This window comes from Homo sapiens, chromosome 17, assembly GCF_000001405.40.
Source record: "Homo sapiens chromosome 17, GRCh38.p14 Primary Assembly".
In the NCBI taxonomy this organism is placed as follows: Eukaryota; Metazoa; Chordata; class Mammalia; order Primates; family Hominidae; genus Homo; species Homo sapiens.
Window position 1 is genome coordinate 56914326 of NC_000017.11, and position 14139 is coordinate 56928464.

Consider the following 14139-nt stretch of genomic DNA (forward strand, 5'->3'; position numbering starts at 1 on the left):
AGGAAGCTGACGCCTGGGTGCAGAACCCCGGACCCCCGGATTCAGAGCCCAGGTCCAGCCGCGCTTCCGCACAAACTTGCGCTCGGAGCAAGTCCCCTCCTTCCCAGCACTCATCTGAGACCAGAGGTGTCCCCACCGTCCCCGCTAGCAGCGCTGGTTATATTGTGGGCCAACCTTTAAAAAAATAAAAAGGAACTGTTAAACCACAGTGCTTTTTTTCTTCTTCTTTTTTCTTTTTTTTAATCCTTCCTCTTTCCTCTTCCCGGACTCGGACATGCGGACATACAATCCCGGAAGACTGGAGGCCGTAGTCACACACTCAAATTTAAACCTGGTGATTTCTTTCCATTCTACTGATGTATCATGCTTTTATAAAAATTCCCATTTCTACTTTCCTGGGATTTGGAGTTACCCAGTTTAACAAAGGCTTTCTCTCTCCTTCTCTCTCTGTCTCTCTCCCTCGCTCGCTCGCTCTCTTTCTCTCTGTCGCGCGCGCGCACACTCACACACACAATATTGGAACTTAAATATTTTTCTCAAAGTTATTGATTTAAACTTACTTCCTTTAATATTTTCTTTTGCTCTGTTTTCCCTCCTCTGGCTTGACTGCAGGACATATGGGTGGACAGGAGAGTAGAAGTGTTCAAAAGAGGGGGGATGGTGGCAAAGAGAAGGATGGTGTTTTGGAAGGAGTTAGTTGGAGTTTGCTTTGGGGACAGAGTGAGTAGCAAAATGAGGAAAAGGTAAATGTCTTAGATTACCTTGTAATAGCTACTATTTATGGGGGGGTACCTTTTGTGTGCTAGATAAGTCACATGGTTATCTCTTATAATCCTTATAAACCCCTGCAAGACTGCCAGTCCATTTTAGGAATGAGAGTCTCAATTTATGCAAAGCAGGACTGGGACTGTAGCTCAGGATCGCTGACCTCCCCATTGTCACTCACTCCTGGTCCCCCTAATTCTTGTTCTGCAGACTCCTTTTCCCCTAAAACCTTTTACCATTTACCTTTTATGTATTCCCTTTCTTTCTTTTCTTTTCTCTTCTCTTTTCTTTTTTTTTCTTTCTTTCTTTTTCTTGACAAGGTTTTGCTCTGTTGTCTAGGGTGCGGCACTCCTCCCAAGTAGCTGGGAATACAAGCACGTGCCACCACACCCAGCTAATTTTTGAAAACATTGTTTTGTAGAGACAAGGTCTCTGTACGTTGCCTGGGCTCATTTTGAACTTCTGACCTCAAGCAACCCTCCCACCTCAGCCTCTCAAAGTGCCAAAATTACAGGCATGAGCCACCATGGGCCTGTCCCACATCTTGTTTGCACAGAGAGGAGGAAGACAGAAGAATGAGGGGATAGGAAATGAAAGCTATGCATAGAATCTCATTTCACCAAAAAAAAAAAAAAATTACAGATGAGAAAACTGAGGCTTAGAGAAACTAAATAGTGTGTCTAAGAATGGACATTGGCACACAGCCCATCTGCTTTCCAAAGCCAGGAGTTTCCTACCATAAAATGCTGCCTCCAAAGGGAGGAGTGGAGCAGTTTCCAGGAAACACTGTGAAATCCCCTCTGACCTATTTATCATGGGTGAGGTGGCCTAGTGATTCATGCCAGAATGTGGAATTCACTTTCCAGGCTGGTTGGTTTAGAAGGGCTTGTTAGACCAATGAGGATGAATAGGAGGGCCATACTTTATCAAATTCCATGCAGTAGATATTTACTAAGACCTACTGTGCAATAGGCATGCAACAGACTGAGTGCTAAATGAGTAAGATGTGAGTCAAACCTGGGCCTGCCTTCTAAAACAGGAAGAAGACAACAGCATAAAGCAGTAAAGAGAAATATGGGGAGAAGTCAGGTCCTGCTAGGGGTATGGATTCCTCATCTGGACAGTAAGAATCCCAATAATACCTTCTTCATGGGATGTTGTAGAATAAAAATGTAACACATGAGCCCGTCACGGTGGCTTACATCTGTAATCCCAGCACTTTGGGAGGATGAGGCAGGTGCATCACTTGAGGTCAGGAATTTGAGACCAGCCTGGTCAACATGGTGAAAACTCTGTCTCTACTAAAAATACAAAAATTAGCTAGGCATGGCGGCAGGCACCTGTAATCCCAGCTACTTGGGAGGCTGAGGCAGGAAAGCAGGAGAATCACTTGAACCCGGGAGGCGGAGGTTCTAGTGAGCAGAGATCGTGGCACTGCACTCCAGCCTCAGCAACAGAGTGAGACTCCACCAAAAAGAGAGAGAGGAAGGAAGGAAGGAAGGAAGGAAGGAAGGAAGGAAGGAAGGAAGGAAGGAAGGAAGGAAGGAAGGAAGGACACACGTAAATCCCAGCGATTTTATTTAATTTTGAGACGGAGTCTCGCTCTGTCTTGCCCAGGCTGGAGTGCGGTGGCGCCATCTCAGCTCACTGCAACCTCCACCTCCTGGGTTCAAGCGATTCTCCTGCCTCAGCATCCCGAGTAGCTGGGATTATAGGCACGCACCACCATGCCCGGCTAATTTTTATATTTTTAGTAGAGATGGGGTTTCATCATGTTGGCCAGGCTGATCTCGAACTCCTGACCTCAGGACCTGCCCACCTTGGCCTCCCAAAGTGCTGGGATTACAGGCATGAGCCACCGTGCTGGGTGGTGCCCGGCCTTGTTTCTTTTGTGTTTTTTGTTTTGTTTTGTTTAAACACACATGAATTACAGTAATATAGGCAGGATTGGGGCATCATGAGTGTTAATCCTTAAATGGGCTTTGGAGGTCCAGGGACTGTCCCCAGGGCTGGAGGGTGTGTTTATCATCAGTAACCACAGTAGAACAATGTTGTCAAGTCAAATATGACCCAGCTAGTCAAAAGGGAGCTATATGGCCTAATCCAGCAGATGGCTGGCTATCTTAATCAGATTCTCACTCTGCATCTGTAGGCTAGGAAAATTAGGTGGAGTAATAAACTTTGTCTGCAAATATAATCTGCCAATTATTTCTACCAATGACAATTCATAGAATTTAAGGTCAGATTGTGGGTGTGGTTCTAACACCCAGTGCTCCAGTCCTCAACACTTTATGAAGGACATCTGTTCCTTTTCTCATTTGAAAGATGACCAGAGAAGTCTAAATGACCTACAATCACACAAACGGCTACAGACAAAGTCCTAGGATTATCATTCCTGAGATATGGAAAAGACTATGGTGCCCATGCCCCCACATGATGAAATTTTAAAACAAGCAAGCAAACAAAAATCTATTCTTAACCAGAAATTAAGTGTAAAGAGTTCTAACAAAATTTCTATCTTTTCCATAATAACTATGATCATTTTGTTGTTGAGGTACTCTCTTTTATTTTATCAATACTTTTCTAAACAACACTGATCATAGTTTTTTTTCTTTCTTGATTTGGCCAATATGGTGAATTATACTAATGAAACATCAAACCAACCATGCATTCCTGAAATAAACCCCCTTGGTCATGATGCATTATTGTTTTATAAATTGCTGGATTTGATTTGTTGGTGTTTTGTTAAGGGTGTTTACATCTGTGTGCATGAGGGATGGTAGTCTAAAATTTTCTTGTAATATCTTTGTCAGGATTTGCTATCAAGGTCATGCCGTATTCATCAAAATGAATTGAGAACTGTTCTTTCCTGTATTTTCTGAGCTTGTGTAAAATTGGCATTATTTCTTAAATGTTTGATAGAATTCATGGATTCTGAACCTCTTGAACTGGTCTTCTTTGTCTTTTTGCTCGCCTTCTAGGAAATTTCCTTAACTTTCTCTTCTATTAAAGCTATCCCGGGGCACATGACGTCAGGACCTCCTGAGGCTGAGTCACAGTCATGTGTCCTTAAAAAAAACAAAAAAACAAAAAAAAAAAACTATCTTGGCCTGGAATTTTCTTCATAAGAAGGTTTTAAATTACTAATTCAGTTTTTTTAACTGTTATAGGAATATTCAGCATTTTTGTTTCTTCTTTTGTTTATTTTTACTTATTTTTTACCTTCCTGGCTTTTATTTCTTCTTGTGTCAGTTTTTGGTAAGTTGTCTTTTTCAAGGAATTTGTTCATTTTCTTTAATGAATTTATGGCCAAAAGATTGTAATATTGCCATATTATTATTATTCCTTTATTATTTTTTTTTAACCTGGCTCATTACTGACAGACCTTTCCCATTATTTTGTATTTTACATTATATTTTGTATTGAGATATAATTCATATATGATAAAATTCATATTTTTAAGTGTACAATTTAATGTGTTTTGTATGTTCAAAAGGTTGTACAACCATCACCACTATCTAATTCCAGAACATTTTCATTATTCCAAAAGAAATTCTATACCCATTTAGTAGTTATTCTCCATTCACCTCTGTATCCCAGCCCCTGGCAATGACTAGTCTACTTTCTGTCTATATGGATTTGCCTACTCTGGACATTTCATATAAATGGAATCAAACATTATGTTCTGTTACACCTGGCTTCTTTCACTGAGCACGTTTCAAAGTTCATCCATATTGTAACCTGTATCAGTAATTTGTCCCTTTTATGGCTACCTAATATTTGGCCCTTTTACGGCTACAATCATAGATATATCACATATTTTGTTTATCCACTCATCCATTGATGGACCTTTGGGTTGTTTGCACTTTTTGACTATTATAAAGAATACTGCTATGAACATTTCTGGTTTTGTATGAACATGTGTTCTCCGTTCTCATGGGGACATATACCTAAGTGGAAATGCTGTGTCATGTGGTAATTGTGTGTGTAACATTTCCAGGAACTGCCAACTGTTTTCGAAAGCCAGTGTACCATTTTATAATCTCACTAGCAGTATATGAGGGCTCCGGTTTTGCAACATTTGTTATTGTCCATCTTTTTTAGTATAGTTCTCCTAGTGGGTGTGAAGTGTTACATCATTATGGTTATGATTAGCATTTCCCAATGACAATGACTAATGATGTTTAGCAACCTTTCATGTGTATGTTGGGCATTTGTATATCTTCTTTGGAAAAAATGTCTATTGGAATCCTGTGCCTTTTGTTTTTTTTTTTTTTTTTTTTTGAGACAAGGTCTTGCTCTGTTGCCCGGGCTGGAGTGCAGTGGTGTGATCACAGCTCACTATAGCCTCAACCTCCTGGGCTCAACCTCCCAAGTAGCTGGGACCACAAGTACTTGCCAACACATCCATCTAATGTTTTAGTTTTTTATAGAGACAGGGTCTCACTATGTTGCCCAGGCTGGTCTCAAACTCCTGGCTCAAGCAATCCTCCTGCCTCAGCCTCCCAAAGTGTTGGGATTACAGGCATGAGCCACCACACCTGGCCTCTTCTATGAGATTTATAGTTTAGCTCTTCCATTTAGGTCTTTGATCCATTTTGAATTAATTTTTATATATGGTGTGGGGTAGGGGTCCAATTTCATTCTTTTACATCTAGTTATACAAACACCATTTGTTGAAAAGGCTATACTCTCCCCAGTCGAAATATCTTGGCAACCTGGCTGAAACCAATTCTCCCTAAATGCATGGGCTTATTTCTGGACTCTCAATTCTATTCTGTCTATGTCTCTCCTTATGCCAGCACCACAGTCTTGATTACTATATCTTTGTGATAAATTTCACAATCAGGAAATGTGAGTCTTTCAATTTTGCTCTTCTCTCTCAAGATTGTTTTAGCTATTCTGGGTCTCTTGAATTTTAACATCAGCTCTTCAATATCTGCTAAAATTCCAGCTCAGATTTTAATGGGGATTGTGTTGAATATGCAGATCAATTTGAGGAGTCATTTGGAGTATTGCCATCTTAACAATATTAAGTCTTCAGAGTTATGTACATGCGATGTCTTCCCATTTATTTAGTTCTTTCATTTCTTTCAATAAGTTTTTTTAATTTGCGGTGTACAATTCTTGCACTTTGTTAAATTTATTCCTAAGTATTATATTCTTTTTGATTCTATTGTAAATAGAATTGTTTTCTTTTTTGTTTGTTTGTTGGTTTGAGATGGAGTTTCACTCTTGTTGCCCAGGCTGGAGTGCAATGGCACGATCTTGGCTCACCACAACCTCCGCCTGGTGGGTTCAAGTGATTCTCCTGCCTCAACCTTCCTGAGTAGCCAGGATTACAGGCATGCGCCACCACGTCTGGCTAATTTTGTATTTTTTTTTTTTTTAGTAGAGATGGGGTTTCTCCACGTTGGTCAGGTTGGTCTCAAACTCCTGATCTCAAATGATACCCCTGCCTCAGCCTCCCAAAGTGCTGGGATTACAGGCATGGGCCACCGCCCCTGGCCGGAATTGTTTTCTTAATTCATTTTCAGATTGTTCACTGCTATTGCATAGAAATATAATTGATTTTTGTATATTGATCTTGTGTCCTGCAACTTTGCTGGACTAGTTTATTACTTATAATAGTTGTTATGTGTTAATTTGTTAGGATTTTCTACATACAAGATTATGTCATCTGTAAGTAGAAATAGTTTTACTTCTTCCTTTCCAATATTTTATTTTTTAATTTATTTGTATCTTGTAATTTTTATTTTTATTTCCTTTTTGGTCAGTTGTTCTGGCTAGAATCTCCAGTACAATGCTGAACATAAATGGCAATAGGAAACATCCTTGTCTTGTTCTTCACCTTAGGGAAAAATTTTTTAGTCTTTCACCACTGAGTATGAGGTTAGCTATGGGTTTTTTATAGATGCCCTTTATTAGGTTGAAGAAATTTTCTGCTCCTAAATTGCAGAGTATATTTATCATTAAAGTGTGTTGGATTTTGTCAAATGCTTCTTCTGAATCTATTTAGATAACTATGAGTTTTTACTCTTTTATTAACATGGTGTAATTGTACTGATTTTCATATGTTGAAAAAACTTCGCACTCCTGAGGTAAATCCCACTTGGTCATAGTGTATAATGGTGTATATTACGGAAAAAAAATGCTTTTTATACATTGCTGAATTTGGTTTGCTAGTATTTTGTAGAGAATTTTTGTGTCTATATTCATAAGGGATATGATTCTGTAATTTTTTCTTGTGATGTCTTTGGCTAATACTGGCCTCAAAGAATGAATTGGGAAATGTTCTCTATCCTTTTATTTCTTGGAAGAGTTTGTGATGGATTGATGTTAATTCTCTTTAAATATCTGCATAATTCACCAGTGAAGCTACCTGGTCCTGGGCTTTTCTTTCAGGGAAGAATTTTGATTACTAATTCAATCTCTTTGCCTGTTATAGGCCTATTCGAGTTTTCTATTTCTTCTTAAGTTGGTTTTGGTAATTTGAGTTTCCAGGAATGTGTCCATTTAATCTCGGTTATCTAATTTGTTGGTATGCAATTATTCACAGTATTCCTTTATAATATTTTTTTCCTTCTGTAAGGTCAGTAGTAATATCCTGACTTTTATTTTTTTTATTTTTTCTTTTTTTTTTCGAGATGGAGTTTCGTGCTTGTCGCCCAGGCTGGAGTGCAATGGCAGGATCTCGGCTCACCGTAACCTCTGCCTCCTGGGTTCAAACGATTCTGCCTCAGCCTCCCAAGTAGCTGGGACTACAGGCGTGCGCTATCACACCAAGCTAATTTTTGTATTTTTAGTAGAGACAGGGTTTCACCATCTTGGACAGGCTCGTCTCGAACTCCTGACCTTGTGATCCACCCGCCTCGGCCTCCCAAAGTGCTGGGATTACAGGCATGAGCCACCACACCTGGCCACGACTTTTATTTCTGATTTTAGTAATCTGAGTCTTCTTTTTTATTCTCGTTCTATCTAGCTAAAGTTCTGTCAATTTTATCAATCTTTTCAAAGAACCAACTTTCGACACTATTGAGTTTCTCTATTGTTTTTCTATTATCTATTTCCTTTCTTTCCACCATAATCTTTATGATTTCCTTCCTTTTGTTTCTCTGAGTTTAGTTTGTTCTTCTTTTCTACATGCCCTTTATTAAGTTGAGAAAGTCTTTTTTCCTGATTTTATAGAGTGTTTTAGTCATGAAAGGGTATTGGATTTTATCAACAAAATTGGTGATTTGAGGTTATTGATTTGAGATCTTTCTTTTTTTCTTTCCTCTTTTTTTGTAATATAGGTATGTATAGTGATAAGTTTCCTTCTAAGCATGTTTTTGACTGCATTTCAAGAGTTTTGGTATGGAATATTCTCATTTTCATTCATCTCAAACTATTTTCTAATTTCCCTTGTGATTTCTTATTTAATCCATTGGCTACTTAGGAGTATGTTGTTTAATTTCCACATATTGTTTTACTTTCCCAAATTTCCTTGTGTTACTATATTCATGGTGGTTGTGCTAAGGATGATAACATGCATCTCTAACTTAGCACAGTCTATTTACAGTTACCATGGTACAATGAGGCCGAGGTTGGGAGGATTGCTTGGGGCCGGGAGTTCAAGACCAGCCTGGGAAATATAGCAAGACCTTATTTCTAATAAATAAATCAATAAATCAAATTGCACTATTTCATATAAAATATGATAACCTTATTACATTAAAATTTCACTTACCCTCTCTTTTGCTGTTCTTGTCCATTTACTGTGGTTGTATTTAACGTCTGCATATATAGTAACCCCACAGTATTATATTATTATATTTGTTTTAAACAGTTATTAAACCTTGTTTCTTTTTTTTTTTTTTTTTTGAGACAGAAACTTGCTTTGACACCCAGGCTGGAGTGCAGTGGCATGATCTTGGCTCACTACAACCTCCGACTCCTGGGTTCAAGCCATCCTCCTACCTCAGCCTCCTGAGTAGCTGGGACCACTGGCGTACACCAGCACATCCAGCTAATTTTTGTATTTTTTGTAGAGACAGGGTTTTGCCATGTTGCCTAGGCTTTCTCAAACTTCTGACCTCAAGGAATCCTCCCACCTCAGCCTCTTGAAGTGCTGGGCTTACAGGCATGAGCTACCACGCCCAGCCAACATCAGAGTCTTTCAAAACTTTGTGTTTCTCGTGGCTTTTATTCCCCTTTCTACTGATGCCCTAAACTTAGATCATATCCACCATTTGGTTAATCCAGCGCTACCCTGTCTCCAGTTACTTTTTTTTTTTTTTTTTGAGACGGAATCTTGCTCTATCGCCAGGCTGGAGTGCAGTGGCGTGATCTCGGCTTACTGCATCCTCTGCCTCCCCAGTTCAAGTGATTCTCCTGCCTCAGCCTCCCAAGTAGCTAGGACTACAGGCACGCACCACCACGCCCAGCTAATTTTTGTATTTTTAGTAGAGATGGGGTTTCACCATGTTGGCCTGGATGATCTTGATCTCTTGACCTCGTGATCCACCCACCTCAGCTTCCCAAAGTGCTGGGATTACAGGCATGAGCCACCGCGCCTGGCCACTTTTTTTTTTTTTTTTAAGACGGGGTCTCGCTCTGTCACCCAGGTTGGAGTGCAGTGGTGTGATTTTGGCTCATTGCAACCTCTGCCTCCCAGGTTCAAGCAATTTTCCTGCCTCAGCCTCCCAAGTAGCTGGGATTACAGGTGCTCACCACCCTGCCCGGCTAATTTTTGTATTTTTAGTAGAGATGGGGTTTCACCATATTGGCCAGGCTGGTCACAAACGCCTGACCTCAAGTGATCTGCCCACCGTGGCCTCCCAAAATGTTGGGATTACAGGTGTGAGCCACCACGCCCAGCTTCCATTTACATTTTTTAAAATTTTGTTCACTCTGTCTCCTAAAGCTAAAAATGTATTAGGATCAAGAGAATGAGAAGACAAGCCACTGACTTGGAGAAAGTATTTATATAAGACGTATCTACTAAAGGACTTTTATCCAGGAAAAAAATTGCAAAAGGTTGGCTTTGAGATCTACGGTCCCCATCTCAGAAATCCTCCAATTAGCTTCCTCAGTCTTTTATAACTGAGATCAGAATAAGAACAGGGAGAGGGAGAAGAAGAAACGGAAAGACAAGAGGCACGCTCAATTATTAGCTGCTTTACAAGTCTGCCAGTCACTCTAGGCTGCCCTGAGAATACCCTCCCAGCTAATCGCTATCTGTGCGGAAAGCCAGGCTGCTGGAGGACAAAGTGCCCCAATGGGCCAAATGGGAAAAAGCCCACATGGCCTGACCCCTGTGCCAAAAGCTCAGCCACTAAAAAAGGGACTGTCCCAAGAGCCAAAAGTCCCCCACAGACCCCGATCCAATAATGGCTTTGAGCAGAATGGCTTTCTGCTCTGACTGGCTCTCAGATCTAACATCATCATCAAAGGGACAGAGACAAGGGCAACCTTAAATGTAGCAGGGAGGACAGTGAATTTTTTATTGGATTTGGGAGCAGCCTGCTCCATGTTTACCTCCCCTGGGCAACTTTCCCCTAAATCCTGTGAGGTAATAGGGGTAAATGGCACCCCTCTCGTCAGAAATTTTACACCTGATTTATGTTGTCTGTGGGACCAATTACTCTTTTCCCATCAGTTCCTGGTAATGTCTAAATGTACCACACCCCTTTTGGGCAGAGATATACTCTCTATCTGATAAAGGACTTTTATCCAACATATACAAAGAACTCTTAAGCTGGGCATAGTGGCTCCCGCCTGTAGTCCCAGCTACTCAGGAGGCTGAGGTGGGAGTATTGCTTAAACCCAGGAGTTCAAGGCTGCAGTGAGCTAGGATTTCACCACTGCACTCCAGCCTGGGTGATAGAGCAAGAGCCCCATCTCAAAAAACAAAAACAAAAACCTCTTAAAACTCTACAATAAAACAACCATTTAAAAAATGGGCAAGAGGTCTGAACAGACACCTCACTAAAGAAGATATCCAGATGGCAAATAAACATATGAAAAGATGCTCAACATCATATCATATGTCATTGGGATGGGACATATTAAGACAACGATGAGATGCCACTACACACTGTGAAAGGAAAATATCTTGGGGCTGGCCCAAAAATCACTAAGCTAAAGGGAAAAGTCAAGCTGGGAACTGCTTAAGGCAAACCTGCCTCCCATTCTATTCAGACACCCCTCTGCTCACTGAGATAATGCGTATCTGAATGCCTCCTTTGAAGGGGCTAATCAGAAATTGAAAAGAATGCTACCATTTGTCTCTTACCTACCTATGACTTGGAAGTTCCCTCCCCACCTAGAGTTGTCCCACCTTTCCAGACTGAAGCAATATTCATCTTACATATGTTGATTGATGTCTTCTGTCTCCCTAAAATGTGTAAAACCAAACTGTGCTCTGACTACATTGGGCATACATAGTCAGGACCACCTGAGGCCATGTCACAGGTGTGCATCCTCAACCTTGGCAAAATAAACTTTCTTTTTTTTTTTTTTTTTTTTTTTTTTTTGAGATGGAGTCTCACTCTGTCACCCAGGCTGGAGTGCAGTGGCGCGCTCTCGGCTCACTGCAAGCTCCGCCTCCCGGGTTCACGCCATTCTCCTGCCTCAGCCTCCCTAGTAGCTGGGACTACAGGCGCCCGCCACCACGCCCAGCTAATTTTTTGTATTTTTAGTAGAGACAGGGTTTCTCCGTGTTAGCCAGGATGGTCTCGATCTCTTGACCTCATGATCCGCCCGCCTCGGCCTCCCAAAGTGCTGGGATTACAGGCGTGAGCCACCGCGCCCGACCAAAACTTTCTAAATTAACTGAGACTTGTCTCAGATTTTCGAAGTTCACATTTTGGTAACCACAGAGGGATTCTACGTGGAGGTGCCCCTGACCTTTGACAAATCTCCTATTGGTGCTTGGCACCAGCTTGAGCTATCTTTATGGCTCAAACCAATAGGACAATTTGCTGAGGCCTGGAAGCACACCCTCCAGAGAATCTCTGATTTCCCAATATTTGATTGAGATCTAAAGTTTATTTTGCTGTGCAACTCTTTTTTGGAGTTTTACTTGCTTCCAACACAAGGAAGGCAAGTTTTTCCTGCTTCCATGACGATGGAAAGCAGGTAACTCCTTTATGGAGTTTCAGCTCACTTACAACAGGGAAGATGAGGTTATTTTTTTCCTGCTTCTAGGATGGTAGAGAGCTGTCTTCAGCCTGAGACCCATCCCTAGGTAAGTAACTGAATTGGGGTTTCTCTTGGCTAAATTTAAGATTAACCACCAGCTGGTGTGGTGAGGGGAGAAAAACAGCCAGCAGAAGAAAAAAAATGTGGAAAAATTTTGACTACTAAGGGGCTTTATTTACATAACAAGGCCACCATTTTGCTAGCCAGGCTGAACTGAAAGAGCAATGGCTGTACTTCTGAAATAGCAGCAATTGTCCTCACTGAAATATGGTAATAAGATTTAAAAAGATTTTTTTAAAGGAGCTCAATAGTTAAAAGTCACCATTAATTTAAAGCTAACATCCAAGATGTGTGTGTATCTGTGCATATGTGTGTTTATATTTCAAAGGCCTTCATATTTTTGTTTTGTTTTTCTTCTAGGACCTTGTCTCTTTTTTGAACAAAAGTTTTTTCTTCTCAGTTGACTGAATTCTTCATTTACTTCTGCTATCTCTCCTTTCTCTTGCACCCTCTGCTGTATGAGGGACCTAAAATAGCTTATAATAGCCTGGAGTTCCTTAAAGCAAACGGAGAAGGCACCAGACTCCCTTTAGGGGAGAAACCTGTTTTTCCTTATGGAATCCCAACAGTGTAAACAGACAAGTTTGTCTAAGCCCTTAAACTGCTTGCTTTTGTATGGTGTTACCTGATTTATTGACTAAAATAGTTATTGCAACAGAGGCTACTCTTGGGTTTTTAAAGAAGCATGGGGTGTAGACACTTAAAAATGTCTTTGTTACAAAAAAAAATTTTTTAAGTCCCCTGTAAAAACATCACGTGGTTTAGCCTAATAGTAATTCTCCCTTTTTGGAGACCCAGGATTCAGTGTGGGCTCTGCCCAGAGATCCAGGTAAAAGACAGGTAAGACCTATCTAAATAAAATTGGTCTCCTTGTACAATCCTATGATACGTTTTTATAATTTTATGTTTGATCTGGCATCCATCTTTAATCTTCCTCTAGCACACCAGACTTTTTCTCTCCATACCTTATGATGTAAATTTTGCTATTTGATTTTCAACTGAGTTGTTTCCTTTAATATGCAAATTTAAGGCTACTTAACTGACAACTGCCTAGGGCTGTGAAACAGGTTATCAAGAATCTGAAAGTCTGAAATAGAAAAAAACAGGTTTTTATGAATCTATAAAATGTGCTTCTATTTGCATGCCTAATATCTCTATGTATGTGTGTGTTGTGTACACAATGTTTCACTGCTGAAAATATATAAAAGAGCTCTAATTAATTGTCTTAAGAAAATAAAAGTGTTTGAATCAAATACTTTATCAGGAAAAAAGAAAAGACTAGTCAAATGCTTTTTCAAGTTTACATACCTTAAGTAAGTACAATCTTTTTTTTTTTTTTTTGAAAGAGAGTCTCGCTCTGTCACCCAGGTTGGAGTGCAGTGGCACAATCTCAGCTCACTGCAGGCTCTGCCTCCCGTGTTCACGCCATCCTCCTGCCTCAGCCTCCCGAGTAGCTGGGACTACAGGTGCCTGCCACCATGCCTGGCTAATTTTTTGTATTTTTAGTAGAGACGGGGTTTCAACATGTCAGCCAGGATGGTCTCGATCTCCTGACCTTGTGATCCGCCTGCCTCGGCCTCCCAAAGTGCTGGGATTACAGGCGTGAGCCACTGTGCCCAGCCAAGTAAAATCTTTAATAAATAAGCTAGTTTTAAAATTATTGGTAATGGTCAGGCGCGGTGGCTCACGTCTGTAATCCCAGCACTTTGGGAGGCCAAGGCGGGCAGATCACAAGGTCAGGAGATCGAGACCATCCTGGCTAACACAGTGAAACCCCGTCTCTACTAAAAATACAAAAAATTAGCCAGGCATGGTGGTGGGCACCTGTAGTCCCAGCTACTCGGGAGACTGAGGCAGGAGGATGGCGTGAACGCGGGAGGCAGAGCCTGCAGTGAGCCGAGATCGCACCACTGCACTCCATCCTGGGCGACAGAGCCAGACTCCGTCTCAAAAAATAAATAAATAAATTTAATTATTGGTAATTTAATATTAGAAATGTCTTAAGAATTGCCAGCATACATCTTTTTGTTTGCATTTATTGACCAAGCAATTTCATACTTATCCCTGCCAAATACTACAAGGTGTCAAAATTTGACATGGGGGTTACAAAACTATAAAGCCAGCCCAAAA

General features: G+C 40.7%; 2 annotated features.

The window, feature by feature from the left end:
* Nucleotides 3569-3769: a silencer, noted in NCBI's record as "peak2907 fragment used in MPRA reporter construct". NCBI's record gives its function as "represses an SCP1 promoter by STARR-seq MPRAs in K562 erythroleukemia cells {active_cell/tissue: K562}" and the evidence as "EXISTENCE:reporter gene assay evidence [ECO:0000049][PMID:32103011]".
* Nucleotides 10703-11237: an enhancer, noted in NCBI's record as "OCT4-NANOG hESC enhancer chr17:55002389-55002923 (GRCh37/hg19 assembly coordinates)". NCBI's record gives its function as "activates a minimal SCP1, AML or CMV promoter by ChIP-STARR-seq in naive and primed H9 embryonic stem cells {active_cell/tissue: H9 hESC(naive and primed)}" and the evidence as "EXISTENCE:reporter gene assay evidence [ECO:0000049][PMID:30033119]".